We start from the raw sequence: 25,641 nt of genomic DNA on the forward strand, positions 1-25,641 counted from the left end.
GAAAAGCGCCTTCAGAGAAGGGGCCCTTTCCTATTTTCCCAGTTACCCCTTTGGCCTATCCCGGAACCTCTCAACCGCAAGGCTCCTATGCTTACTGCGGTCCAGAATCCAGCTCTGCCTAGCAGAACTTCTGCAGTGATTGAAATGTTCTATATCTACTGTCCAATGCAGTGACCACTAGCCACGTTGATTTTATTAAAAAAATTTTTTTATTTGAGACAGAATTTCGCTCATGTTGCCCAGGCTGCTGGAGTGCAATGGTGTGATCTCTGCTCACCACAACCTCGGCCTCCTGGGTTCAAGCGATTCTCCTGCTTCAGCCTCCTGAGTAGCTGGGATTACAGGCATGTGCCACCACGCCCAGCTAATTTTGTATTTTTAGTAGAGACGGGGGTTCCTCCATGTTGGTCAGGCTGGTCTTGAACTCCTGACCTCAGGTGATCCACCCTCCTCGGCCTCTCAAAGTGCTGGGATTACAGGCGTGAGCCACCGCGCCCGGTTGATTTTATTCAATTTTAATTAATTTTAATTTTAGTGTAAATAGCCACATGTGCCTACCATATTGGATAGTGAAGGAGATAATGGGGGTCGTGCCTGCCTTCCTAAGGTCCTGGAGCTCCAGGATGGAGCTGGAAAAGACACTGGCCACCAACACTTCCTTTGCAGTGAGGAAGTACAGCTATGCAGGACAAGGGAACATGGAGAATCAGTGGGAGTCCAGGGTCCTGAAGCCCAGGCTCCGGCTCTTGGCGCTACACAGGGACTCTTGCAGATGGCTCCCAGAGGTACTGAGGGCCTGGTTGGGCCATTCAGTGCCTCACGACTTTCTGTCAAAAGAGAGGTGAGCAACTATGGTGAAGAGGGATGGCTTCAGTGGCTCCAGGTGGATGCTAATTTCTCATTCCCCAAGTTACATGTGCCCTGAAGACAGCCCAAGGAGTGAGAGTGGGAGAAGAGACTTCAGCCTGACGAGTCCCAGGTGGATGGGATGGAGGATAGCAGTGTGTGTGTGCACCTGTGTGCTTGTGCACGTGGCCCTGTACCAGCGTGCGTGAAGCACTGTACTTATGACGGTACCAACTGCTTATGATAAGGTGGAAACCCCCAGGACCCAAGTCAGACGGGCTGGGTTCCAGTCTTGATTCTTCACTATCTTTCAGTATTCTTCACTACTTGATTCTTGACCGAGTAATCTTGGGCAAGGCCTTCCATTCTCTGGGCCTCAGTTTCCCCACCTGTAAAGTGGAAGTATTGCCTGGATCTCTGGTGTTCTATGATTTTAGGTGGTAGTGCCTTAGAATGCCTGTGTAAATGGCTACATGGGGCAGGGCGGGGGCATCTGCAGTGGATAAGGACAGCTGAGGGGAGTTTTGCAGGGACAAGAGACAGGGCTGACTAGCTCAGCAGAGCAGAGTCTGAACTCAGAGCTGGCTTCTGTGAGCTGGGAGAACTTTCTGACCCACAGTCTACTGCCACAGCATTAGCCTTGGTCCCTGAGGGACTAGAGGGAGCTTGGTTCCGGCTCTTTTCAGACTTCCCACCTGAGGTTGTGTAAACAGCTCCACCTGAGTCCCGTTGATGGCAGATGGATGGCATCATCCCTGCACGCAAGAACCTGTGCGCTAGGCGAATGTGTAGCTTGTCTGTGTCACATTCCTGTCCACACATGATCACGCAGCCCCTCCCTCTGTTCTAAACCCTAGTGAACCCAGATGCAACAGGCTGTGAACATGAAGTCTTTATTCTCTTTGTCCTCAAAGCAGGGAAGGGCTGGTGCAGGGGTCAGGGCACGCATCCAGCAGGAGCTCCACATCCAATGTCTCCATCTGAGGGCATAAGCCCAGGCAGAGGGGCATCTCAGAGAGTGTTCCAGCTCTGGGCCAGGGCTGAAGGCAGGGCCTGCCTGGGTGGCAGAGGGCCTCAGCGGGCCAAGGCGAAGCCAATGCGGTTGTTACGCCGATCAAACTCTGTGTAGAACTTTCGGATGAAGGTGGCCCCCAGGGCCCAGGTGGGTCCAGTGGGTGGCGGGATATCCATGGCGTGGATGGCCAGTGTGCACAGCTTTTTACTACTGTAGGATTCCTGGCAGGAAGGGGGAGAGTTTCTCCATACCCAGCACATGAGCATTCTCCTTTCACCTTGCCTGACCCCCAGCAACTGTCTTCAGCAACATTCCCCCTCTCGCCCCCATCTCTCCCCTAGCCACACTGGGCCTCCCTCACATCATGGCCATTTTGCCCCATCGTGGACTGCACCACTCCTATGTTTAGCCCCTGTGCTAGATCCCAGGCAAACAATGCATCAGGCACCGTGCTTCCTTCAGGAGCTTACAGTTTGCCTTAGCTTCTGATCCTAGACAAGTTATTCAACTTCTCTAAGCCTATTGATTATGAAAAGAGGGTAAGAATATAGGAGCATAGGATTCTTGGGAGTATTTGATGAGAAAATGGAGATGAGGGAACAGGCATAGTGATGCCCAAACATGGCCACACATTGGAATCACCTGGGGAAACTGAACCCCAGGTGCCACTTCTAGAGGTTCTGATTTAATAGGTATGGGATGTGGCCCAGGTACCAGGATTTTTCAAAGCTCTCCAGGTGACATGCACAGCCAAGTTTGAGAACTACAGTTCTAACATGACCTGTGCATTGTAATCTGTCACTCTTTGAGGGTCTCTGTCCAGCCTTTCTCCCTGCCACCGAGGGGGCCGACTCGAACCTCACCTGAAATACATAGTCCGCGCTGGTGAGCGTGTATTCTTTGCCTCCCAGGTGGAAAGAGATGTCGGGGAGTGTAGGGCCCTCGTTACACTTCACGACATACTGGGGTGGGGGGCAAAGAGAGCCTTCTTGAGTATGGAAGACGTCTCAGCAGACAAGGAGTCCTGCGCTGGTGGCCTGGTCTCTCTGCTGGAGAGGGCTGGGGACAGTGCCCCGCCCCATGGGTGACCAGCCACATGTGTGGAGAGTGTGAGGTGAACAAGCGAAGGCCTGAGATGGCCTCATTTGCCTGGGGGATTTGTGAGCCGATACCAGGTGGCGCTCCCCCCACCCACAGCACCTTCCCTCTTTGGCTTCTTACATCAAACAGCCTCTTCTTGGCTCCCAAGGCCTCCATGAGCTTCTCTATGGAGCTGGTAGAACCTGAGATGTAGGATGCACCGGTGTCTACCAATGCCAGGCAGCCGTCTTCACAGAGCAAGGTGGATGACCCCACAGACACCCTGGGGGAGGCCACAGTCAGACAGACAGACAGACAGACAGACAGAAGGCTGATGGGGCACCTCCAGGCTGCATGTCCTTCCTGAGTGTGGGTGGGTGGGTGGAGGCCACGCTGGTGGCCTGTTGAGGCAGTGAGTAGAGGAGGGAAGGTACTGTCACCCTCCACCACTTCTCCCCAGGCCCCTCCCTTCTCTGTTCCCCAGCCTGGACAGAGCAGGCAGAGAGCAAATGGTGGCTGTGCTTAAGAAGTGGCTGCATTTGGAAAGAGGGCAGGATGGTAATGCAGTCCTTCCCCACCCTCCCCAACCCCAGTGACGGCAGCATTTTTTGGAGCCCGGGGAGGGTTGAGGATTTCTGACCCCTTCATTTGAATCTGCCAGACACCAGTCTTGATGAGGTTGATATAGTGGAAATTCCCTTCGTAATGCTGGGGGTCGCTGCCTCCCAGCACAATCTGTCCTCCCAGCGATTGGGAATTCCTAAAGGAAAGATCAGAAGCTCTTGGAAACCCATAACCTCCAGGACCCAGCAACTCAGGCAATTGGGGAAGGTTGCACAAGGGTGCAGGGGAGGACAGAGGGCTCTAGAGCAGAGGAATGTGGGACAGACAGCCAGGCTCGGAGCTGTCGTTGGGAAGCATGCAGAACATACTGCTTCTCTGCCTTTCTTCCCCTCCCCAAGACCAACCAGAGGTTGTTCCAGGGTAGTCCAGCTGTTCCCCCAAAAAGCATCCCCAGAGAGGTCACAGAAAAGGAGCAGGTACAAGGACAGTGAGTGGATGTGAACAAGACACAAATGGACACCCCTCACTCTTGGGTTGCTGCTGATTGAGCAGGTGCATGGGAGGGGACCCTGGGGAGGCTATTGGGTATGGGGTGGGCAGGTGGCATGGAGAGAGCAGGAAGGAGAGACAGAGAACTTCGGCATCTAGCGGAGGCTGGGCTTGCTGATGTGAGTTTTGGGCCGGTGGCGTGTGTAATTCTAGGTCAGGTGCTCGGGGAGTACTGGAAGGTCACAGCCATGTGGGGGTTTTGTCTCCTTACTCGGAATCTCTGCAGAGAAAGAGAGACAGCAGAAAGGAAGCTTCATTTCATGCCAGCCTCATCAGCCCTGCTGTTTGGCAGGGTGGGTGTTATGTACTCTCTTTGCCCTTCAGGCAATGGAGTCACCAAGAGGCGAAGTCACTTGCCTGAAGTTACCCAGTCCATGAGTGAACAAGTGGGGGACTGGAGCCAGGCTCCTGGTGCCCCGTCTGGAGCTGATTCCCCTCACCTTCCTTTCCTCCTCACTGCACTTGGCTCAGGGACTACTGTAGGCCTAGTCTCCAGGGCATGCCTGTGTGTGTGATGTGTTTTTCCAGAATTCATACTAGAATTCACACATGCACATGTGTGCATGGGTGTGTAGGTGTGCATATGTTATTTTGTGCAACTGCAAACTACTTGTGTTTTTATAAATTCGGAATGTATGTGTATATGCTAGCACAAATTCCCTCCTGCCTGTCTCTCAACACTTCAGTATCTCTCTGGATGTTCCCTCCTTCCCATCCCAAGATAAAAGAAGAGGCCAGCCCTCTCCTCTGCAAAACCTGGCTTCTTCCTGTCTGCTGGAACCTCATCTCTTTCAAGGCCTCCAAACTCCAGTGCCCCCATTTAGCTCCTCTTCTTTCCACATTTTTAATCTCTTTCTTTCCATTGGCTTCTTCCTCCACCTACAGGCATCACTCGAGCATCCTCTAGCATTTAAAAACACCCACCCTTCCTCTTCTGCTTCTGGATCTCACCCCCCACGCCACCCCCCATTCCCTTCCCTGTTGAATGTCCCAGGGCAGCCTACATCTCATGACCTCCACTTCCTGACACCCACGTCGTCCACCTCTTAACTTCTTGCCATCTGGCCTTGCCCCCACTTCCTCTAAAACAGTTCTTCTAAAGACCACCCCTGAATGCAGAGCCGCCAATTGGCCTTTTCTCAAGGCCTCACTTTCTATCACCAAACCGGAGACTCCTCTCCATTTTACTGTGAGATTTCTCTGAACTCTGATCCTCTCCTCTATTCTTTTTGCCACTGGCCTCATGTTCTTACCCTTGTGACTTTTTTTTTTTTTTTTTTTTTTTTGAGACTGGATCTCACTCTGTTGCCTTAGCTGGAGTGCAGTGGCACAATCACTGCTCACTGAAGCCTTAACTCCTGGGCTCATGCGATCCTCTCGCCTTGGCCTCCCAAAGTGCTGGGATTACAGGCATGAGCCACTGCACCCAGCCCCTTTTGCCTCCAGCTCTCTTGTCTCCAACTCATGCCATCTTTCTAAGCCCAGCAGTTTGGAGTAGAGCCCAACCCTGCTCAAGAGCTTCCCCAAGGCTGGCTGAGCTGCATATAAGCTCAGCCTAGAATTGAAAAGCATCCATGGTTTTCAGCACCACACTTGCTGCCTGCCTGTGACACTCTTTATGTTGGAATATGTCTTGTCTTCCCTGTTAGCCTGTAAGCTCTATGTGGGTAGGGGAGTACAGATTCTGCCTTGTTCACTGTGTTCACTGCTGCACCCCCAGAGCCTACCACAGTGCTTGGCACATAGCATTTACTGAACTGATGAGTGAGCAAACAAACGAATGAAGGATCTAATGGATGACTGAAGTTGGCTGTCTCTGTGTGGGAGGAGCCATGGCCCTAACAGGCAGGGCTACAGGTCACAGTAATCCCTTATTTACCATCGCCCCCACCTTGCATCTCCTCTTGCTCCAGAGTGGCGCTGTCTATTAGAATGTCCTGTCATGCTGGGAATATTCTCTATCTGCACTGTCATAAGACTGTAGTTACTAGCCACCGTGGCTGCCAGGCATTTGACGTGTGGCTAGTACAACTAAGAGCCACCAGTTGAATGCTTAATTGATGCTTAACTGTATTTAATTAATTTAAATTTCAATAGTGCCTTCCATATTGGCTAGTACAGCTCTAGATATTGATTGGCTGTCACCTAATTACAAACACTTTACAATTCTGGCCCAGACTCTCCTTCCACTCCCCATCTCTTCTCCCCTCCTGTCCCCCCACCTCAGCCCTTGGAGTCCCAGTCCCCACCTGTTGTAGTAGAAAGAGAAGACGTCCTCTTTTAGCACCCCTTGGGAGATGATGTTGTCGAAGATAGGGGTGACCCTGCCAATGGCCTGTTCAATGAAGCCCATGCCCACAACCCCATCAAACTCGGCCAGCATGAAGGGTAAGGCGGGCATCTCCGTGACCTCTCCAAACATCTGTGTCACCGTGATTCCACCCACCTGTGGGAGGAAGGACCAGAGGAGACCAAGCCCACTGCCCACTCCTTGGTTGGAGTCTGGTCTGGGCTTCCACACTAGGGATCCCAGGGGCACACATGCTCCAGGGTACAGAAATCGGGGTAAGAGTATTTCCTCAACCCTGCACGCACACACTCTGTGCCAATACACATCTCTGCTGCGGAGCCCAGAGAGAGCTAGAGTTGACCAGGGATCGGAGAGCAGAGGCTGAGAGGGTGGTCCTGCCAAGCAGCAAAAGAAAAGCTGCCAAGAGCTCCTCCCCTCCCCAGTGGCCAGACTTTCGTGCCTGGCAGGACTGGGTCTTGGCCCCCACCCTTATCATGGGCGAAGGGTTTCTTTAGCACAGACAAGCTTGCCCTTCTCCCTCCTTTATATCTGAGTTCACAGAAAAAGGAAGGGAGGCAGGAATCACCCTGATTTCCTCTCAGGTGCCACGTGTGCCCCTCCCCTAACTCTGATGGAGCAGGGCCTGAGAAACTCCAGGATGAGGAAACGGTCAGACATGGGCCACATGGAAAAGAAAAGCAGGCCTTGACCTGAGTCCCAGAGTCAACCTCAACTGTGACCTTAAAACCTATGCCTGACCCTAAAACTCAGCCTGACTCTGACCCTGGATTTCAGTCTAGGGTGTAGCCCAGTCAGAGCTGGTGAACTTGGACGAGTTACTTGACTGCAGCCACGGGGCTCAGGACAAGCCCTACATGCAAGTTAGATGCAAAAACATCCACAAACCACCCAACGGTGAGCCCGTAGCCCAGGCTTGCTCCCCCATAGGTACTGCTGCTTTGCAGCAACAGCCAGATGTGGCAGAGTAGGGTGTTCCTCAGCTCCCCAGGCTCCAAGTGGGCTGCAGTGTACCTCCCCGCAGGTGTGGGCCCTGGAGGGTCAGGAGAGGCCTGGGGACAGAAGGGGTCCGGGGCAGATGACCTAGGGCGGCCCAACTTACGGTGATGATGTCCTGGCTGAGAAAGCCACTGACTGTCCCTGTTGAATAGCGGAGGGTGAGTTCTGTTCCATTGTGCTTGTAGCTGGAGGAATCCGAAGCATCGAAGAGCTTGTGATACACTGGCAGGGGGACAGAGGCTCAGGTTTGTCCAAGAGTGGCCCAGACAGGGGGACTCAGAGGCAGGGTGCATTGTGGGTATGGCTGGTTAGCTTAGGTGCAGGGATGAGTGGCCCTAGGGTCAGGGGGCTTGGAATATGTGCTTCATCAATCAAGGACTGGGTTTCTTGGGCTCTCCTAATGTGCCCATACATCGAGAATTTTGTCCTAAATGAAGGAATTTAAAGTAATCACTAACACTGATAACACCAGAGAAGATGCCAGGCACAGAGTAAGTGCCTAGTAAGAGGTTGTTGATTAAGACTAGGGATGGAAGAGTTCCGAGTGCCTGGGATGGGTTTGAGAATTCAGTCCTGTCTCAATCTCAGGAAGACTGGGAAGTGGCCTTCTGGGTGCTCAGGGGTTCTTGGACCTTTTTTTGTTTTTAACCTTGGTGGCTGTATCAGAAAAACGGGAGACATCTTCCCCTCTCCCCTACATGTCAGTGGGCACAGAGGCAGAGAGGAAGCCACTCCCTTGGTGGCAAGAGGGATGGGAGCTGGGTGTTGGGCAGGATTGCTCATGCACAGTAGGGCAGGGGGATGGAGGAGAGGCACTGTGGGTCTTAGGTCTCACCACAGGCAGTGTAGAGACGGCTGCACTTGGAGGAGGGCACCCAAACATTGGACGAACCAGTGTCAAAGACGACTTTGAAGGTCTGGGGTGGGGTGCCGATGCCAATCTCGCCATAGTACTGGGTCTGTGGGGGTAAAAAGAGAGGGCTGGAGGGGCTCAGGGGACCTTGGGTCTTGGGGTCTTGCCTGGCTTCACTCTTGGCTCTCGGTGTGAGACTTGGCCCAGGCGAGGTCCTATAGCCTCTCGGGGTTTCCATTTTCCTGCAGGAACTGGTAGGAGGCTTAGCATCTCCCCATGGCATCCCAGAAAGTGGGAGTCTCAGTAAGACAAGAGGGCAAAATCAAAACATTGAGAATGAAGCAGGAAGCAAACTTGACTCTTGAGGATCCTCTGGGGCAGGAAGCCATCAGGTTGTGCTGGGCCAGGTCACAGAAACCCCCACCTGAGTCACACACCCCTTCCCACCCACCTGTGACACCTGGCTTGAGGCCTGGGCTGAGTTCCAAACCTAACCCTGCCCCTGAATGGCCCCTGGATGCCTTCCTGTCTTCTGTGCTCAGGCTTTCCAGCTGGAAAATGGGAATTTTCTAGGGTGCTCACGTGCTACTCAGCGCCTTCGTCAAACACAGCTTGGAAAGGGTGAGTCTTGCAGCAAAGAAAGCCCTAGGTCCATGAGGGAAAGGAGACAGGGAGGGAGCGAGGGGCTGAGCCAAGCACTCACGTCCATGTAGTTGGTGAGGATCACGGAGGAGGTGGTGTTGCCAAGTGTCAGCCTCTTCATGGGTTGGCTCCACTCGGGACCAAGCCTGGCCATGTCCACACCTCGTTCCTTCAGGCTTTCTCGGATTGAGGGCATTCTCTTGAGGAAGATCCTGGCCCAGGGTGGAGGAAGCAAAAATAGAAAAGTGCTGTACCTCCACCACAGTGGTGGAGTCCCTGAGGCCAAACCCCTGCTTTTAGTACAACCACCTTTAACGTTAGCCCAGCCACCTGGAAATCACCTCTGTCGCTGAGGGCCTCTGGAGCATTTATAAGAGTTACTTCTTGTCAAGAGTCAATTTAGAGGAGTCAGCTGCCCGGGGATTAAATAACCCTGAAGTGACTTCCTTCTGTTGCCTAATTTTGATTAGACAAGGCTATTTGTTTATTGGTCCGTTCATTCATTTATTCCGTAATCACCTGCTGAACAACTACTTTGTGCCTCACTGTGCTGGACACTGGAGCTAGAAAGATAATGATCATGACTGCCTTTAAGGAACTCCACCTGGCGGGAGGACAGACAGGAAACAGGCACAGACATTCCCTCTGAAGAGATTAATGCCAGGGAGTGCCCCTGTCAAAACTAGGGGCTGGCGGGGAGACAGTGCCATGGGAGGCCGCTAGGTGGCAGCAGATGCCCACAGCAGCTGCAAGGTCTCCAGGATACCAGGGGACAGGCACCCAGCCAGGGCTGTGGTGGAGTGGACCCCCTGAGCTGGGTTGGGCCTAGAGAGATGCCAGCATCTTCAGAGCGCCATGCACCTCGTCCTTGGAGAGATGTGTCCCGGTCCCTTGGCTTCTTGTCTAGATGTTTTCCCATCACCTTTGAGAGGCAGAATTAAAGAGACCTAGGAAACTGACTCTACTGAGCCGCTACTGAAATCACACCAACAAGCTAGCTGTCATCCATTTTATAGATGAGAAAAATGAAGGCTCACAGGGACAAAGGTGACTCAGAAATGTTGAAGCAGGGATTCAGAGCATGTGTCTGGCCCTATTTCCCATATAGGGTCCCCTGGGTCCCGACATAAAGGCTGCCAAAGCCCAGAGGAAGATGTCTCTAGCTGTTCACGGGAAGGTCCCAGGATGGAAGCCCAAGTTGACTCTGCAATAGACTTTCCCATACACACAAAGATTCCCTCTTTCTTCTACTTTCTTCTCAGTGGCTAGTCCTCCTATACTCACACTACCCTTTCCTTCCTACATCCTTCTTGCGTCCCATGCATTCTACTTACCCCCATTTTGCCCATGAACATGAATGCAACTTTTATGCCTATCAGCATGGTATTGTAACAGAAATGATTTGTTATCTTCCTATCACAGGTTACTGTTACCAAAATATTTTCACAATCATTATTTTATTTGCTCTCATAAGGTGGATGATTTTATTACTCCCACTTCACAGCTGGGAACGTGGAGGGTCAGAGGTTTGGCCCCAAAGAGGTTGCATTTCCCACTGTTTACTCACAACAGCCTATGCTTTGGACCTTTACTTCTTGCCATTTCCTTTTCAGAAAATCCTTTCCTTCTTCCCTTCCTTTTCCCCCCAGTTCTTTAGTCCTCCAAGGCCCAACATGTACCCCCACCTCCAGGAAGCTTACCCCAAGGCCTCCAGCCCACACCGGCCTCACCTTCCCGTGGGCCTCAGCTCTGTTTTTCCTTGGGTCTCACAGCCCACACTGTACAGCTTGTGGAACTGGTGCCGTACGGTGGTGAAGACAGTGGTTGCAGGGGGCATGCCTGAATCCCCTTACCACTTATGTGATTCTGAGAAAGCTACCTAACCTCTCTGGGCCTCTTCTAAGTCTCCATTAACCCCTCTCTAACAATGGGCCTAATGGTAGTACCTACCTCAGAGTCACTGTGCAGATGAAACCATGCGACCACTGCTCAATAAATGTAAATTGTAGGTGTGTATATGTACATGTTCACCTTGAGAATGGAGCTCATTCATTCAGCTGTCCCAAGTGCCTCGCATGATGCTCTGCACATAGCGGGTAGCAAAATTCCTATAATACTGTTTCAAAAGCTGGATTCCCCCTCCACCCCTTGCCCAATTCCATTCTTTTTCTCTTTTGGATAACAGCAGGGGAAGATGTTTTTACTTTCCTCTACCTTTATCCTGGAGTGCAGCTGCTTTGAAGCACCCATCCTCTTACCCAGTGCTCACAACCCAGCAATTACTCTCCGAGAGCCTCAGAGCAAGGGAAAGCAGTTTCGGAAGCAAAAGGCCCAGTGTGTGTTGAGGCTTAGCCTCTTACATATCACCTCCCTGAGCCTCAGTGTCCTCATCTGCAAAGTGGGAATGCTGAGTTGTTGGGGGCATGACTTGAGATGAGACATGTGAAAAGATCCTGTGACACCCTAAGCATTTTATAGGCTTAGCAACTATTACCATTATTAAAGTGTGCCTCCCTACCTTCAGGACTGCTGGTCATATCTGCTGTCCCCAGATTGAAAACCCCTTTCTCTGTGAGGCCTTTTCTCAAATGCTGTCTCTTCCCCTTCTTCAGTCTTTTTTTTTTTTTTTTTTTTTTTTACATAAGGTCTGGCTCTATCACCCAGGCTAGAGCACAGTGGGTCAGTCTCTGCTCACTGCAGCCTCCACCTCCCAGGCTGAAGTGATGCTCCCACCTCAGCCTCCCGAGTAGCTGGGACTACAGATTTGCACCACCACACCTAGCTAATTTTTGTATTTGTACAGACAAGGTTTCACCATGTTGCCTAGGCTGGTCTTGAACTCGTGAGCTCAAGCGATCTGCCCACCTCAGCCTCTCAAAGTGCTGGAATTACAAGCATGAGCCGCGTGCCCAGCTTCCTTCTACAGTCTTAATGAATCACTTGTTCCCACAAGGCCTGGCACCTAGGGGATGCTAAGGTTTTCTCCTTCTAATTGTGGGCTACCTAAAGCCTTGTTTTTTTCTTTCTTTTTTTTTTTTAGACTGAGTTTTGCTCTTGTTGACCAGGCTGGAGTGCAATGGCGCTATGTCGGCTCACTGCAACCTCAGCCTCCCAGGTTCAAGCGATTCTCCTGCCTCAGCCTCCCAAGTAGCTGGAATTACAGGCATGTGCCACCACGCCCGGCTAATTTTGTATTTTTAGTAGAGACAGGGTTTCTCCATGTTGGTCAGGCTGGTCTTGAACTCCTGACCTCGGGTGATCTGCCCCCCTCGGCCTCCCAAAGTGTTGGGATTATAGGCGTGAGCCACTGCTCCCGGCCAAACCTTGCTTTTGATATTTGTAAGAATCTATCCTGTAGTACTAACAGTAGCTGGGCTCTTACAACGTGCCCAGCTTTCTATGCCTTATCTCCTAAAATCCCCAAAGCAGCCCCATCAAGTAGGTACTGTTATTATCATACCTGTTTAAAATGATAAACTGAGACTTGGAGAGGTTAAATAACTTGCCCATGATTCCAGACCTAGTTTGTTCTGCTAGTGAAGCAAAATTTAAATGAAGGCAATCTAACTCTATAAGCCTTGCATTTAACCACGATATCAAGCTGCTTCCCTGGTACAGTTAACTGTACCCATGCCCCGACCCCCGTCTTTTTTTTTTTTGAGATGGAGTCTTGTTCTGTCACTCAGGCTGGAGTGCAGTGGCACGATCTTGGCTCAGCAATCTCCACCTTCCGGGCTCAAACGATTCTCCTGCCTCAGCTTCCCGAGTAGCTGGGGATTACAAGTGCCTGCCACCATGCCCGGCTAATTTTTGTATTTTTAGTAGAGATGGGGTTTCCCCATGTTGGCCAGGCTGGTCTCAAACTCCTGACCTCAAGTGATCCGTCTCAGCCTCCCAAAGTGCTGGGATTACAGGCAGGAGCCACCGCGCCCAACCACCCATGCCCTTCTTAATATTCAGGCTGTGAGCTCCTCAAGTGCAAGGGGCATGTCCTAATACTTCTGAGTTCTCTACAGTGCTTAGTTAGCATGGTGCTCTGGGCAGGAAGCAAAAGTCACAGCTTCTAGACCTGACTACTAGTGTCATTTATTGGGCAAGTCACTTGACCTCTCTGAACAGGTCCATACTTCCCTGTCCAGCTGATCGTAAGGACTGAATGACACCGCATGTGGAAAAGCCAGGGTGTTGGGAAGGTGGGAACCCTGCACCCCTCCCACCCCTTCTCTGCCTGAGTTACCAATTACCGTTTAAAGGTGGTGGTGTCTGTCGGGAGACCAAAGGTACAGGAGCCCCAGAGCAGCAGCAGCAGTCCCCAGCGAGGCATCCTTCTCCATCCATCCATGCTTCCCTCAGTCTGGGGCTCTCTCTGAGATCCACTGAGGTTCTGTGGCTCCCTTAGCCCTTCCCCTTTTATACACTCCATGCATGGGGTGATTGCAATTCTGCTCTGCCCTGATTTATTACCCTGGGGTAGATGGCAGGGCAGTCAGCAATAAATCTCACTGCGGGACAGAGCTAGGTGGGTGAAGGGTACCCAGGTTTCCGGATGGGGAGCAGAGGGGCTGGAGGAAGGACAGCTGTGGGAAAGCAATCTTGTGTCCAGTGACGCTAGCAGCCCTCTATCTGGCTTGGCCCTGTGACCCCTGGAGCAGGCAGAGGCTGATGAGAAACAGCACTGCTCAGGGCTAACATCAAAACTGGGACAAGCGTAAAACCTAGGTTTCCAGCTCCCTAGCCCAGACCCAACCCCTATACCCTGGAAGCTCCATTCTCTATATTAACTTTGGCTTTGTCCCTGACTGGCCTCTCCCAGGCTACAGCCCAGTTTTCCCATCTAGAACATGGGTGAATCTTCATGACTGGTTTCTTGGCAGGAAAAGCAACAGCTGGTTTAATTATAAGAGTAGAGGGGCCAGGCATGGTGGCTCACACCTGTCCCAGCACTTTGGGAGGCCAAGGTGGGTAGATCACCTGAGGTCAGGAGTTCCAGACCAGCCTGACCAACAATGGTGAAACCCCATCTCCACTAAACTACAAAAATTAGCTGGGTGTGGTGATGGACACCTGTAATCTCAGCTACTCAGGAGGCTGAGGCAAGAGAATTGCTTGAACCCAGGAGGCGGAGGTTGCAGTGAGCTGAGATCATGCCACTGCACTCCGGCCTGGGCAATAAGAGTGAAATTCCATCTCAAAAAAGAAAGAGAGTGGAGGGAGACTTAGCATGACTGACTCCATTTTGCCTCTGACCCCCAGGGGTATTATCCTTTAGGCTAAAAGCTTCTGCTTAGCTCTGTACATAGACCAGCTAATTATAGGAGTTTAGCTTGCAGTTCAACTTTAAAAAAAATGGTAACAGTTCCTTTCCCCAAACTAACCCCCAAGGAGATAAGGAAATATACAGACAAATAACAATGTTATGTTAAAGATGTATAGGAACATTGTGACCTGACCTAGAAAAAAGAAGTTTTACAACGTCCTCAGACCCTTGCTGGCACCCAGGTGTCTGTGGTCATCAGTCACCTCTTGATCCCAATCCCCTTCTTCTTCCCCTTCCCTTAACATAAAGAAGAGCCTAACGTTCATGCTGACTTCAGATGGTTCTTTATGATGCTGGTCCACCATCTTCTTGGTTTTCTGGTTCTCTGAATAAGGTAGCTTTCCTTGCCACAATACCTTGTCTCTAGACTTATTGGCTGTTGTGTGGCAAGTGATACGAGCTTGGACTCAGCTACTCATAGCCTTGAACAGTCTTTCTGTGTCTGATTACATTCAAGTATTGTTTTCATCAGGTTTGACTTACAGGTTATCTAAATGGGCTTCCCATAAGAAGAAGCAATCACACTACAGAAAGTTTTTCTTTGCGTTTTTGGTAGCTGGCCTAAGAAACAATTATTTTAGGCTGGGAAACAGTGGCTCATGCCTGTAATCCTAGTGCTTTGGGAGGATGAGGTAGGAGGCTCACGCTCACTTGAAGCTCGTTCAAGACCAGCCAGGGCAATATAGCAAGACCCCATCTCTGAAAAAAATTAGCTGGGTGTGGTGGTGCGTGCCTGTAGTCTTAGCTACTGGGGAGGCTGAGGCGGGAGGATCACTTGAGTCCAGGAGTTCAAGGCTGTAGTGAGCTATGATTGTGCCACTGCACTTTAGCCTGGATGACAGAGTGAGACCCTGTCTCAAAAAATAAAAGGAAAGATTTTACATTTTCTCAAGATAATTCCTCATTCTTGTTATCTTTATCAGGTTTTTGATTACTTAGGAAAACTGAGCTTTAGAAAGGTTAAGTCTTTATATTCATGTAACTTTCTGTATTGCTATTAAAGTCTTTTAATTATCACTTTTGTGAAATGAATAATTATTATTTTACAAAGACCGGCGGTTCTGTTTTGATCAAATGGTTTGAGGCTTTAACATTTTGACAAATGTCCTCAAAATCTAATCCTAAATTAAGTTTGAAATGTTGCTAATTCTTTATGTTTTGTTTTCCAGAGTCAAGAAAGCCTTTTTTTTTTTTCTGAGACGGAGTCTTGCTCTGTCACCCAGGCTGGAGTGCAGCGGCGCAATCTCGGCTCACTGCAAGCTCCACCTCCTGGGTTCACACCATTCTCCTGTCTCAGCCTCCCAAGTAGCTGGGACTACAGGCACGTGCCACCACGCCCAGCTAATTTTTTGTATTTTTAGTAGAGACGGGATTCCACCATGTTAGCAAAGATGGTCTTGATCTCCTGACCTCATGATCTGCCTGCCTCAGCCTCCCAAAGTGCTGGGATTACAGGCGTGAGCCACTGCGCCTGGCCCGCCTTTTTTCTTTTTGAGCTATTTATAGCTTATAGAAATTGGGTTTACCTTTCTCTCTGTACCTAATATCTCCAGGATTTAAAAAACTATTAAATCCCTCTGGGCCCAAGGACGCTCATGGAAGAGGTGGGCACAAAACACCTTTTGATGTACTAATTTTACTTTTAAGGAGTAAAATTAGTTCAGATCCTCCAAATATAGGTACACAGATGCCTAAACAGCTGATGGCTCAACACATAGAACTTATAGAAAGGTCAGTTTTGTACCTTTGCTATTTGGCTTTTGGTTTTGGCTCTTATGTTACTTAAAAGGTTTTAAGGGTTAATGAATGCTTGGCCACCTCCCTTACCAAATGGCCTAAAACGTTTAATTGACTACAAGTCTTTTGGCTTTGAGTTCCTTAGCCACAGGGATCCTACCAAGGGATGTGATGGACCTGGGGCACATAGCCACAACACCCCCAGCAACAATATGGAACAAAATAAAAGTTTGGCCATTTATGCTGCCTTTGGTATATCTTGGCCAAATGGGAGAATGTCAACTAAAAATAAAATATTAAGCCCCCTGCTGACTGAATGGACCCCCTCTTGGCTAAGGGGACCCCAGAAAAACCTTAAAAACTTAGTCTTCAGGTATAATGTGATGGGAAGTCAGATACGCCTCATTATACCCTCTCCCTTTTGTGGTTTAGATACAATAACTAATCAACACTAATGTTAAAATAGAGGTCATAAGACTGACATAACTGAAATTTTGTGGCAATAAAATACCATATTATAAACAGGACCTAAGGCCATGCCAGGCAAGAGTTAAGTCATGCATCCTTACACTTAAAGAATAAGCTATATTCTCAATGACACAAGGTTTCTCTTTTTCTCTAGCAGCTAAGCAAGCACTGGCCTTAAGACAAGCAATATTAAAACAATTTCAACTCATCCAGTTCATAGATGCTGACTAACTGAACCCCAGTTCCACCAGCCATAACTATAGCTTTGATTGAACAAAAGACTGATTTCACTAATTTTCTCCTGATAATAAGACTGCTGGCCATGAACTGGTTCTAGCTAGTTATAGAGATTGTGCATTTGCATGCCTTTGTGTTCTGAAAAGACCTTTTGATGTACAGGGCCTAATTGTAGTACATTTAAATGTTACGCTTTCACCTCAAGGTAAACATGGGTCATATGTAACATGCATGTTTGTACAATACGCATGTGTCAGGATCACCTTCATAAATATTCGTAGCTTCTTCTGTAACATACATACATTGAATATGTATGCTTAGCCAACTGCTGTCATAGTCCCACAGGAGCCCTGGGTAAAATTGACAGTGGGGAACAAACTTATTGACTTTCTTATTGATACAGGGGCAACGTATTCTGTAGTTAATACCCACCTACCTTAATTCAAAGACTATCTATGATGGTGACAGGAGTGTCAGGGGAGCTGTGACTTGTCTCTTCCTGAAACCTTTAGATTATCATCTTAGAGACCACAATCCATGGGAAAAACTGAAAAGATGAACCATACTCTAAAAAGAAGCATTGCCAAAATATATCAAGAAACTAATTTGACTTGGGATAAGATGTTGCTGATTGCTGTTGTGGATTCGAGTGGCTCCCTCAAGTAGGTTCAAATTGAGCCCCTTTGAAGTATTATCTGGTAGCCCATTCTAGGTTTTTGTCCTGGTGGGAGAACCAACTGATGTTTTAAGAGATTTGGCAATTACCAAATATTAAGACTCTAGGCACTATACTAACTTCTGTTCATGAGTTTGCTTCTAGCAGGACCACTCATCCAGCAGATGTGGTCCTACATCCTTTTCAACTGGGAAATTAGATCCTCCTAAATACCTGGAAAGAACAAGGACCTGAACACCAATTTGCTGCCAAGTGGACAAGGCCATTTGAGCTGCTGGTGAACACACGCTTATCAGTTAAACTTGCTGGAGTAAAGCCATGTGCACATTATACTCAGGTCAAGGCAGTACCACCAGAAGACAGCCCACTAATCCGGAAACCAGGAAAACAGTGGGCTTGTGAGCACTTGAAAGACCGAAAGCTACTGTTTCACAAAAAGATAAGTACAATGAAAATGTATCCCCTATGTGTCTTGCATGTCCTTTAGAGATTTTTGTTTCCTTGGCAAGACAACTCTTGAGTTAGGATTTCTCAATCTATTGCCTCTTTCACTAGCATATCACACTGCCAGATTTGTCATCTTAAACCTTGTTCAGTACATGACCACTCTGATCCTCTAGTTGTTCCTGTACACATAATTTTAGTCATGTAGCCTCTTGGGCATTAGATCTATAGAAGCTGGTTTCTCAAATCATACATAGGATCCAATTGATAACTCCATACCCAGAGGCCCCATGTTTCTTTCTTATGCAGCACCTCATTAGACACTACATGCAAAGCAATAATAAGGACCCACAAGCCTGCAAGCCTACTTTCTTTTTTTTTTTTTTTGAGACGGAGTCTCGCTCTGTCGCCCAGGCAGGACTGCGGACTGCAGTGGCGCAATCTCGGCTCACTGCAAGCTCCGCTTCCCGGGTTCACGCCATTCTCCTGCCTCAGCCTCCCGAGTAGCTGGGACTACAGGTGCCCGCCACCGCGCCTGGCTAATTTTTTGTATTTTTAGTAGAGACGGGGTTTCACCTTGTTAGCCAGGATGGTCTCGATCTCCTGACCTCATGATCCACCCGCCTCGGCCTCCCAAAGTGCTGGGATTACAGGCGTGAGCCACCGCGCCCAGCCGCAAGCCTACTTTCTACTTACCAAATGGCGTCCCTAAGCTAGCCACCTGTTGCTAGCTTAATTCCTCCTCTACAGACCCATATTGATACAATTAGACAACAGGCTACCTGGCTTTAACAAACCTTAGAACACCAAAGCAGGCTTAATCTGGGGGCACTTACAGAGACTGCTTTAAAGACCTATTCTCCTGGATTCCTAGTGTAATTCCATCAATCTTGGGAGGCATTCTTAAATTCAGCCTTGATGTTCTTCTTTTAGTCATGGTGGCCTACGTTCTAGTAAAACTTATTATGTACTGTGTAAACAAAGGTTGTGCAAGTCTCGCTAAAACTATCAAAGCAAAAAGGGAAATGCCGATGATCATTGTTCCTAAAAATGGCACTACGAAATATTTCCTTAGCCAGGTCAAATGGTTTCATTCCATAGTCACCCCTTGTCAACCCTGTTTGGCAGGAAGTAGCCAGGTGAGTAATGATGTCTCATTTTCCCCAATCCCACAAGACTGTGGGATGAACCTTTGACAATGGGGAAATTGAAATAGTGGAGGGAGGCTTAGCATGACTGACTCCATTTTGCCTCTGACCCCCAGGGGTAATATCTTTTAGGTTAAAAGCTTCTGCTTAGCTCTGTACACAGACCAGCTAATTATAGATTAGCTTGCAGTTCAACTTAAAAAAATGATAACAGCTCTTTCCCCCAAACTAAGCCCCAAGGAGATAAGGAAGAATACAGAGAAATAACAATGTTATGTTAAAGATTTATAGGAACATTGTGACCTGACCTAGAAAAAAGAACTTTTACATACTCCTCAGACCCTTGCTGGCACCCAGGTGTCTGCGGTCATCAGTCACCTCTTGATCCCAACCTCTTCCTCTTCCCCCTCCCCTAAATGTAAAAAGTAACCTAAAAGTCATGCTGACTTCAGATGGTTCTTTATGACGCTAGTCCACCATCTTCTTGGTTTTCTGAATAGGGTCGCTTTCTTTGCCCCAACACCTTACCTCTCAGCTTACTTGCTGTTGTGTGGTGAGTGGTGTGTGCTTGGATTTGGTTACATAATCCTCTGGAAGCAGGGAGCTGGGGGAGGAGGGGGTTGTCTATCCTCTGTTGACCTAGTAAGGGTGGGAGAGAAGGGCAGTCTTCAGGGTTTTGGCTTCTGCTAAATAGAGGTAGGGCAGCTGATCTTCCAACTTATTCTCCTCTTTCTGCTTGGCTCTAACTCCCTTTTAGGCCCTGGTTCTCTGCCTCATTTCCTTTTCCCTGTAGCTTTACAAGCAGTCAAGTACAGCTCCCCAGACAGACATCTGGTCCCTAAATCCCAGGATGAGTGCTATTTATTCAGGCTAAGATGCCTATCTTGGCTTTTCCCTGATTATTTTTTAGGGCCCACTTCAAATATTACCCCCTCCTCCATGAAGCAGGCCCTGACTCAGCCTGGAATTGACTGCTTTCTGCTGTAGGCTTCCACAGCATGGCTACAAGCCCTTCTATGACAGCACCAACTTAGCTGCTTTTGCAGCAGAGTTCTTTATGTATGTATGAATATGATTTTTGCCCACAGTGGTGCTTAATATTTATTAAGTGGATGAACTAGTGAACTGCAATGGGCAGTGCAAAGAGCCCTGGGTTGGTGGTCAGGGACTTGGATCCTAGTCTTCATTCTACCATAAATTTGCTATGTGATGTTGGATCCCTCCTTTCTCCTCTTTGGACCTCAGTTTCCAAATCTGTACAGTGAAGCAGATGGCTGGATGGCACCAAGGGTGTCTTCATGCTCTGATACCCTAATATTCTAATATTCTGTGCCTCCAGGGTACTGCCCTCTACACCAGCTCCACACCAGCTGTGGGCAGTACAGACAATGAGAGGAGCTCATCTCTGTGGCTAATGTTTTGGCTAATTAATGTGTTTTGACCTCAGAGATGATAAGGCCCTTTCCAAACGATGGACCCTAGTGGTGATTTTTCAGGAACTGTGGTTGGGAGTGGGGGAATTATTTGGGGACAGGGGAATACTTTTAGATCCTTCATGGTAGGGGTATCTTGTCAGAATAAATGAACATTTATGAAGCACCCCTAAATTGCTCTTTCAGTCCTCTTTCATTTACTAGCAAATATTCATGGAGCCTTTATTATAATGTGAGGCACTCTGCTAGATGCTGGAGTTACAAAGTTCACAAAAATAAACACAGTTTCTGCTCTTGTTTATGGATCCCACCGTCTTGTGGAAGAGATAGATTATTATCATCATGCATAAATATAAAATAGCGCTGATGACTAGTGCCAGTCAGGGAACTCCAGGAAGCTTCCCTCCCACCCAAAATTATACTCGCATTGTGATCTGAAGGCTGCATTGGCAATGAATAGCTGAAGACAAAGAAATAGAGTCCCAGCAGGAACAGAACGTGCGAAGGCCCTGTGGAGAGAGGATGATGTCAATAAAAACAAAAAAAGCCAACATATCAAGAACAGAGAGATGAGAGAGAGCGGGGTGAGACATGTGGCCAGAGGCAGGAGCTGAAAGAGCTAACACTTACTGAATACTTACTATGTGCAAGATACCACTCTAGGTGTTTAATGCACTTAATTCTCACAATAACCATATGAGGTTGTAGCATTATATCACTATTTTACAGATGAGGACATTGAGGCCCAAGAGGATTCAAAAGGTAACTTGCCCAAGGTCCCACTGGCAATAAGGGCCAGAGTCAGACAGTAAGTTTAGGCTGTGTGGCCCAGAACCCAGTACATAGATGCGCTGAGTGTCAAACCATAAAGGTTCTTGCATCCCATGTTAGGAAGTTCTGTGTTTACCCTAAGAGCCATGGGAAGCTGTTGACCCATTAAGAAGTGAATGAATGTAATTAGATGTTTTTGCAGACAGGTGAAGAAGGGACTGATGGGCCAGGTGCAGTGGCTCACGCCTGTAATCCCAGCACTTTGGGAGGCCGAGGGGGGCGAATCACCTGACGTCTGGAGTTCAAGACCAGCCTGGCCAACATGGGGAAACCCCGTCTCTACTAAAAATACAAAAATTAGCTGGGCGTGGTGGCAGGCACCTGTAATCCCAGCTACTCTGAAGGCTGAGGCAGGAGAATCCCTTGAACCCGGGAGGTGGAGGTTGCAGTGAGCCAAGACTGCGCCATTGCACTCCAGCCTGGGGAACAAGAGCGAGACTTTGTCTCAAAAAAGAAAAAAAAACAGAAGGGAATGTTGTAATTAGATGTGTTTTGCATGTGTTTCGGCTGCAGTGTGGACTAGCAAGGAGTGGGGATGGGTCCAGAATAGCATGGCATATACCAGTTAGGAGGTCATGGTGCTAGAACTAGCTTGGTCTAGGGTACTTGGGCATGGTGAAGATGAAAAAGATTGGATGGATTTGAGAGAAATTTAGGAAATAGAATCTGCAGGACTTGGTGACAGATCGGATATAGAGAGTGAGGAAGAGATTGGTTTTTGGAGGCACTCTGGGTACATAGAGTGATGGAAGAGAACGAGGATTTCAGAAGGGGAAGAGGGTTGGAGAGACCATAAGTTTGAGGAACTGTTGAGTATGGATCTCCTTTGAGACATCCCAGGGGTGATATCAAATGGCAGGTGCATAAATAAACCCGGGTGAAAGATTTATGTGTTATTTGCAATTGGTGATTAATGCGACAGGTATGAATGAAATTAGCCAGGGAGAAGGTGAGCAGCAAGAAAGCCCTGGACTCTAAGCTTTAAGGACAAGCAGCAGAGGAGGAATCTGCAGAGGAGACCCCAAAGGAGTGGCCACAGAGGAAGGAGGAGAGCAGCAGGTGTCTCTGAAGTTGCAGGGAGAGACTGTTTAAGGAGAGATGGTGAGGGACAGTAGGTGCTGCTGCAGGGTGAGGTGAGACTTGGGTTAAAATGGAGACATGCGGGCCACTGGTGCTGTCAGTGGGAGCTGTTTTGGTGATTCAGAGGGGTGGGAGTCCACACAGGGATGGGTTGATGAATGATGGGAAGTGCTACGATGTGAATGTTTGTGTCCCCCAAAATTCATAGGTTGAAATTCTAACCCTCAATATAATAGTATTAGGAGGATGAACCTTTGGAGAGGTGATTAAGTCCTGATGGGATTAATGCCCTTATAAAGGGGGCCCAAGGGAGCTCTTTTTTCCCCTTCCACCATGTGAGCCACAGCAAGAAGATGCCACTCATGAACCAGGACAAAGGCCCTCGCCAGACACCAAATCTGCCAATGCATTGATCTTGAACTTCTCAGACTTCAGAACTGTGAGAGATAAGTTTCTGTGGTTTATAAGCTACCCAGTTTATGGTATTTTTTAATAGCAGCCTGAACAGACTAGGATAGAAAGTAAGAAGATGAAGACAACATAGTGTAGGCAGCTATTTTGAAAAGTGGAGGAGTAAAAAAGGGGAAAGAGGGTGACGATAACTGGAGGAGAACGAGGACCAGGTGAGAGGTTTTTCTCTTTCTTCCTCCTCCTTCCCTCCTTCCTTCTCCTCCTCCTCTCCCTGACGAAATGCTTAAAAGGTAGCTTGACTCTTTGTTCGGGGCTCAGTCCTTTAGATGTTAATCCGACTGGGTCGGTGCACCTAAATAATTAAATAATTCCTCCTCAACCCCTCGGTCTCTCTGATTCCTTAATTATCCCGCTGCACTGCCAATCTTTTCTAATGATGGGAGGGAGTTGAGTATATTTAATGCATAGAAAGCACTCAGTTGAGAGGAAGAGTTAATTAACGCAGTAGGATTCCTGGGAGGGAAGGAGTATACAGGGTGGGAAACAGCAGGATGGAGCAGACCCTCCACTGCAGCAGGAGGAAAGAAGGCAAGGCATGTGCAGGTGTTAGTGGTTGATTTGCTTGGCATTGGAAGCTGAGGGACTGCCTGTCTGGTGGCTGTTATCTTCTCTGACAAGTAGGAAGCAAGGACCTCTGCTGAGAGTTGGGGATGGGAGGGGGTTTGGAGGCATGAGAAAAATGGAGAAGCTCTGGAATCATTATGGAAAGTGGGAAGAAGGTGGCCAGGGAAACCAAGAGGATTTCTGTGAGGAATGAAGACATTTAATGGCTGGAGATCATGACTTTAAAGGAAGCCAGTTGGCCTGGTTCTCTGTCTCCCCCTACCAATACCACAGTGTCAGCTCCTTGGATACAGATGGAGAGAAAGTATATAGCTGGCTTCATCCAGGGCTAGGGTGATCAAAGATGAGGGACAAAGGAATTTAAGGTTTTAGCAAAAATGTTATTGGACCGGGAGCAGTGGCTCATGCCTACAATCCCAGCACTTTGGAAGGCCGAGACAGGAGGATTGCTTGAGCCTGGGAGGTTGAGACCAGCCTGGGCAACATAGTGAGACCTCGTCTCTACAAAAAAGTACAAAAATCAACTGGGGTATGGTGGTGCCCACCTGTAGTCCCAGCTACTTGGGAGGCTGAGGTGGAGGATTGCTTGAGCCCAAGAGGTTGAAGCTGCAGTGAGCTGTGATTGTTGCCACTGTGCTGCAGCCTGGGTGATGGAGTGAGACCTTGTCTCAAAACAACAACAACAACAACAACAACGACAAAAACTGTTATTGAATGAAAAACTGTGGAATGTAAGGTGGCTAGAGAAGTCAAGACAGGACAGAATGGATGATCTGGAAGGAAGCAAAGGACCATGGCAATTGAGAAGAGTGAGCAGGGCTGGTGGGAACAGTTGAACCACAAAGCTGGAGGACGAGCTGGCTGAGCATGGGATGCTTGAGATAGTCTGGAGGGGAAGTGGTTATAAGTGATAAGTCCCAAGTAGGACGTGGCTGTGGATAGCTGAAGTAGAGGAGGGGTGAGGTTGTTGGAAATGGGGCCCCAAGGATCTGAGAGGCCAGTATGGCCAGGTCACCATCTGCGTGGTTGGTGATGTCATCAGGAGGTTGCAGAGGGCAAGGGGTGGAGGAAGTCTGTAAATCAGGAGCCAAAGTCTTTGATAAATGACAGGGCGGGAACTGCTAGTCCAGTAATGACAGCAGGGAGTGTGTGGAGGGTCCAAGGCAAAAAAGCAGGGCCTGAAGGGAAGAGGGTCTTCTCCCAGTGTCCACATCAGCCTGGGAGGTGAGTGGATCAGTTTCCCCAACAGGAGGAAGCCAAGACCTAGGAGGTTAAGCAGTGTGTCATGATTTGCAGATGGTAAGTGGCAGAGTGGGGACTTGCATCTCTCCTGCACCATATCCTGTGTTGCTCATGGGTACAGTTGCTGGGCTTGAACCTGGGTGGGTGCCCTGCCCCAGAATCTCACTTCTCTCCACCTCGAGCTCGAGGGCCCCTGCGTTGCTGGAGGAGTGTCCATCATGAATCTCAGGAGAGTGCTTAAGAGTGATGCTGTCTCCTTTCCCACCATGACTGCAACCTGTCATAGCCAGCAAGGGTGACTGACCACCCACCCTTTCTCTCCCTCTGCTCTCAGCAAACCCTAGAGGAAAGGGAGCAAGGAGCAGGGAGAGAACAAGTTGGAGGACTGTCAGAGATGGGGTCAGCCTAGGGGCTGCAGCAGAATGTGAGTAACACCAGCCAACTTTCTTGAGCATCTATGATGTGCTATGAGGTGATTTGAACACTACTGGATTTTGTTTTCTAGGCAGCCCTATGAAGTGGTAACTATCATCTGCACTGTTCAGATGAGGCCACTGAGGCTGCAGAGAGCTTAGAGAAGGACAAGCTGAGGGCTTCACTTTGTGACTCCTTCTCTGTGGCTATGGGTGTCAGGAACAACTGGGAGAGCCAATGGGATTCAAAAGAAGAATCTGTAGAGAGTGATCCAACCCCATAGAGCTTTTCTATGTGGAAAGGGGAGCTCTTCTAAGCCCCACGTCTAGTATAGTTTAGACACCCAGTACAGTGCAGCAGAACCCTCACATCTATTTTTGATTAAGTTTCCGGACTCTTCAACAGCAAAGGCAGAGCCAGGAGGTCCAGAGCAGGCAATGTGAAGCCCTGAGCTACCAGTAGATCTAGGTCCCCTGGGGACCCAGCACTCTCCAACCAAACATGTCCTCACTCCCACATCTATCCCCTGCCTCCCACCATGTATGCAGCACCATGACCCCCATGTGGTCCTGAGCCCAGCAGTGCATACAAGTGAGACTATGAAGCATGAATAACCTCACCAGGAGAGAGAAGTGGAACAATGACTCTGCTAACTCACTCTGAGGCTGCAAGCAAGTTGCAGACAAGATCTGCAGAGACCACAGGGCAGGCAAGGAAATCAAC

The 25,641-nt window shown here is 48.9% G+C and overlaps 1 protein-coding gene across 1 annotated transcript, besides 29 other annotated features; it reads right to left on the reverse strand.

Annotated features, from left to right (window-relative positions):
- Positions 1,724-13,242, reverse strand: REN (renin). The gene is made up of 10 exons (NM_000537.4): positions 13,101-13,242; positions 8,918-9,068; positions 8,197-8,320; positions 7,465-7,583; positions 6,304-6,500; positions 4,266-4,274; positions 3,582-3,701; positions 3,083-3,224; positions 2,725-2,823; positions 1,724-2,082 (listed from the first exon to the last, which is right to left on the reverse strand). Exons 1-10 carry the CDS (start codon positions 13,196-13,198, stop codon positions 1,921-1,923), a joined length of 1,221 nt encoding a protein of 406 aa, NP_000528.1. The 5' UTR covers positions 13,199-13,242; the 3' UTR covers positions 1,724-1,920.
- Positions 9,071-13,098: a silencer, noted in NCBI's record as "intron A". NCBI's record gives its function as "negative regulator of gene expression" and the evidence as "EXISTENCE:reporter gene assay evidence [ECO:0000049][PMID:8760248, PMID:9166895, PMID:10419062]".
- Positions 9,071-25,384: a biological region, named in NCBI's record as "REN promoter and enhancer region". NCBI's record gives its function as "regulatory_interactions: REN".
- Positions 9,539-9,618: a protein binding site, noted in NCBI's record as "site 1". NCBI's record gives the evidence for it as "EXISTENCE:protein binding evidence [ECO:0000024][PMID:18632798]".
- Positions 13,227-25,384: a promoter, noted in NCBI's record as "12 kb region for complete renin regulatory region; -12166 to +16". NCBI's record gives its function as "promotes expression in kidney and renin-expressing cells" and the evidence as "EXISTENCE:transgenic organism evidence [ECO:0001131][PMID:12163396]".
- Positions 13,239-13,390: a promoter, noted in NCBI's record as "-148 to +4 promoter". NCBI's record gives its function as "active promoter in multiple renin-expressing cell lines; drives expression of transgene in juxtaglomerular cells of kidney, lung, and adipose tissue" and the evidence as "EXISTENCE:reporter gene assay evidence [ECO:0000049][PMID:8420924]" and "EXISTENCE:transgenic organism evidence [ECO:0001131][PMID:10516288]".
- Positions 13,241-13,276: a protein binding site, noted in NCBI's record as "Ets-REN; includes footprint A". NCBI's record gives the evidence for it as "EXISTENCE:protein binding evidence [ECO:0000024][PMID:8914017, PMID:15368359]".
- Positions 13,302-13,324: a transcriptional cis regulatory region, noted in NCBI's record as "RP-2, also called PPE (proximal promoter element); -78 to -60". NCBI's record gives its function as "mediates activation by POU class 1 homeobox 1" and the evidence as "EXISTENCE:reporter gene assay evidence [ECO:0000049][PMID:8420924, PMID:8645191]".
- Positions 13,309-13,616: a transcriptional cis regulatory region, noted in NCBI's record as "-367 to -67". NCBI's record gives its function as "contain multiple negative regulators of expression in chorionic cells" and the evidence as "EXISTENCE:reporter gene assay evidence [ECO:0000049][PMID:8156625]".
- Positions 13,350-13,383: a protein binding site, noted in NCBI's record as "huREN/CNRE". NCBI's record gives its function as "mediates response to cyclic AMP" and the evidence as "EXISTENCE:protein binding evidence [ECO:0000024][PMID:15353176]".
- Positions 13,378-13,391: a protein binding site, noted in NCBI's record as "Pal3". NCBI's record gives its function as "promotes gene expression" and the evidence as "EXISTENCE:protein binding evidence [ECO:0000024][PMID:18483152]".
- Positions 13,378-13,391: a protein binding site, noted in NCBI's record as "Pal3". NCBI's record gives the evidence for it as "EXISTENCE:protein binding evidence [ECO:0000024][PMID:18483152]".
- Positions 13,391-13,825: a promoter, noted in NCBI's record as "-583 to -149; contains positive and negative regulatory elements". NCBI's record gives its function as "strong promoter in JEG-3 cells" and the evidence as "EXISTENCE:reporter gene assay evidence [ECO:0000049][PMID:2540188]".
- Positions 13,441-13,476: a protein binding site, noted in NCBI's record as "CRE_REN or hRENCRE or proxCRE; contains footprint D". NCBI's record gives the evidence for it as "EXISTENCE:protein binding evidence [ECO:0000024][PMID:8999953]".
- Positions 13,441-13,476: a protein binding site, noted in NCBI's record as "CRE_REN or hRENCRE or proxCRE; contains footprint D". NCBI's record gives its function as "mediates response to cyclic AMP" and the evidence as "EXISTENCE:protein binding evidence [ECO:0000024][PMID:8645191, PMID:8999953]".
- Positions 13,471-13,506: a protein binding site, noted in NCBI's record as "ARP-1-REN or COUP-TFII-REN; includes footpring E". NCBI's record gives the evidence for it as "EXISTENCE:protein binding evidence [ECO:0000024][PMID:8914017, PMID:15368359, PMID:17455195]".
- Positions 13,486-13,501: a transcriptional cis regulatory region, noted in NCBI's record as "-259 to -245; direct repeat (DR)". NCBI's record gives its function as "negative regulation of transcription" and the evidence as "EXISTENCE:reporter gene assay evidence [ECO:0000049][PMID:17455195]".
- Positions 14,288-14,308: a response element, noted in NCBI's record as "THRE (thyroid hormone response element); -1066 to -1046". NCBI's record gives its function as "mediates response to thyroid hormone" and the evidence as "EXISTENCE:reporter gene assay evidence [ECO:0000049][PMID:11208763]".
- Positions 14,995-15,049: a response element, noted in NCBI's record as "nCARE (negative calcium response element)". NCBI's record gives its function as "mediates negative regulation by calcium" and the evidence as "EXISTENCE:reporter gene assay evidence [ECO:0000049][PMID:12569263]".
- Positions 15,013-15,036: a protein binding site, noted in NCBI's record as "nCARE". NCBI's record gives the evidence for it as "EXISTENCE:protein binding evidence [ECO:0000024][PMID:12569263]".
- Positions 16,062-17,160: a transcriptional cis regulatory region, noted in NCBI's record as "NRR (negative regulatory region); -3916 to -2822". NCBI's record gives its function as "important for negative regulation by tumor necrosis factor alpha" and the evidence as "EXISTENCE:reporter gene assay evidence [ECO:0000049][PMID:9853270]".
- Positions 18,528-19,119: an enhancer, noted in NCBI's record as "-5870 to -5279; includes polymporphic C/T site (rs12750834); T variant has increased activity". NCBI's record gives the evidence for it as "EXISTENCE:reporter gene assay evidence [ECO:0000049][PMID:12473863]".
- Positions 18,801-19,026: an enhancer, noted in NCBI's record as "CE (chorionic enhancer); -5777 to -5552". NCBI's record gives the evidence for it as "EXISTENCE:reporter gene assay evidence [ECO:0000049][PMID:9737995]".
- Positions 18,867-18,905: a transcriptional cis regulatory region, noted in NCBI's record as "footprint C". NCBI's record gives its function as "important for enhancer activity" and the evidence as "EXISTENCE:reporter gene assay evidence [ECO:0000049][PMID:9737995]".
- Positions 24,252-24,470: a conserved region, noted in NCBI's record as "conserved_region; HEMM; 77% identity to mouse". NCBI's record gives the evidence for it as "EXISTENCE:sequence alignment evidence [ECO:0000200][PMID:9314837]".
- Positions 24,257-24,276: a response element, noted in NCBI's record as "HRE (hormone response element)". NCBI's record gives its function as "may contribute to induction of expression by peroxisome proliferator activated receptor gamma" and the evidence as "EXISTENCE:reporter gene assay evidence [ECO:0000049][PMID:17785633, PMID:18483152]".
- Positions 24,259-24,470: an enhancer, noted in NCBI's record as "h202E or KE (kidney enhancer)". NCBI's record gives its function as "required for full transcript levels in transgenic model" and the evidence as "EXISTENCE:knockout evidence [ECO:0001091][PMID:16990260]" and "EXISTENCE:reporter gene assay evidence [ECO:0000049][PMID:10488050]".
- Position 24,260: a sequence comparison, noted in NCBI's record as "sequence_comparison; C in human genome results in decreased activity relative to T in mouse genome". NCBI's record gives the evidence for it as "COORDINATES:sequence alignment evidence [ECO:0000200][PMID:10488050]".
- Positions 24,293-24,300: a response element, noted in NCBI's record as "enhCRE". NCBI's record gives its function as "mediates response to cyclic AMP and response to beta-adrenoreceptors and low salt diet" and the evidence as "EXISTENCE:reporter gene assay evidence [ECO:0000049][PMID:21424707]" and "EXISTENCE:transgenic organism evidence [ECO:0001131][PMID:21424707]".
- Positions 24,364-24,384: a protein binding site, noted in NCBI's record as "WT1ir". NCBI's record gives its function as "negative regulation of enhancer activity" and the evidence as "EXISTENCE:protein binding evidence [ECO:0000024][PMID:18496514]".

Source organism: Homo sapiens, chromosome 1, assembly GCF_000001405.40.
Source record: "Homo sapiens chromosome 1, GRCh38.p14 Primary Assembly".
NCBI lineage: Eukaryota > Metazoa > Chordata > Mammalia > Primates > Hominidae > Homo > Homo sapiens.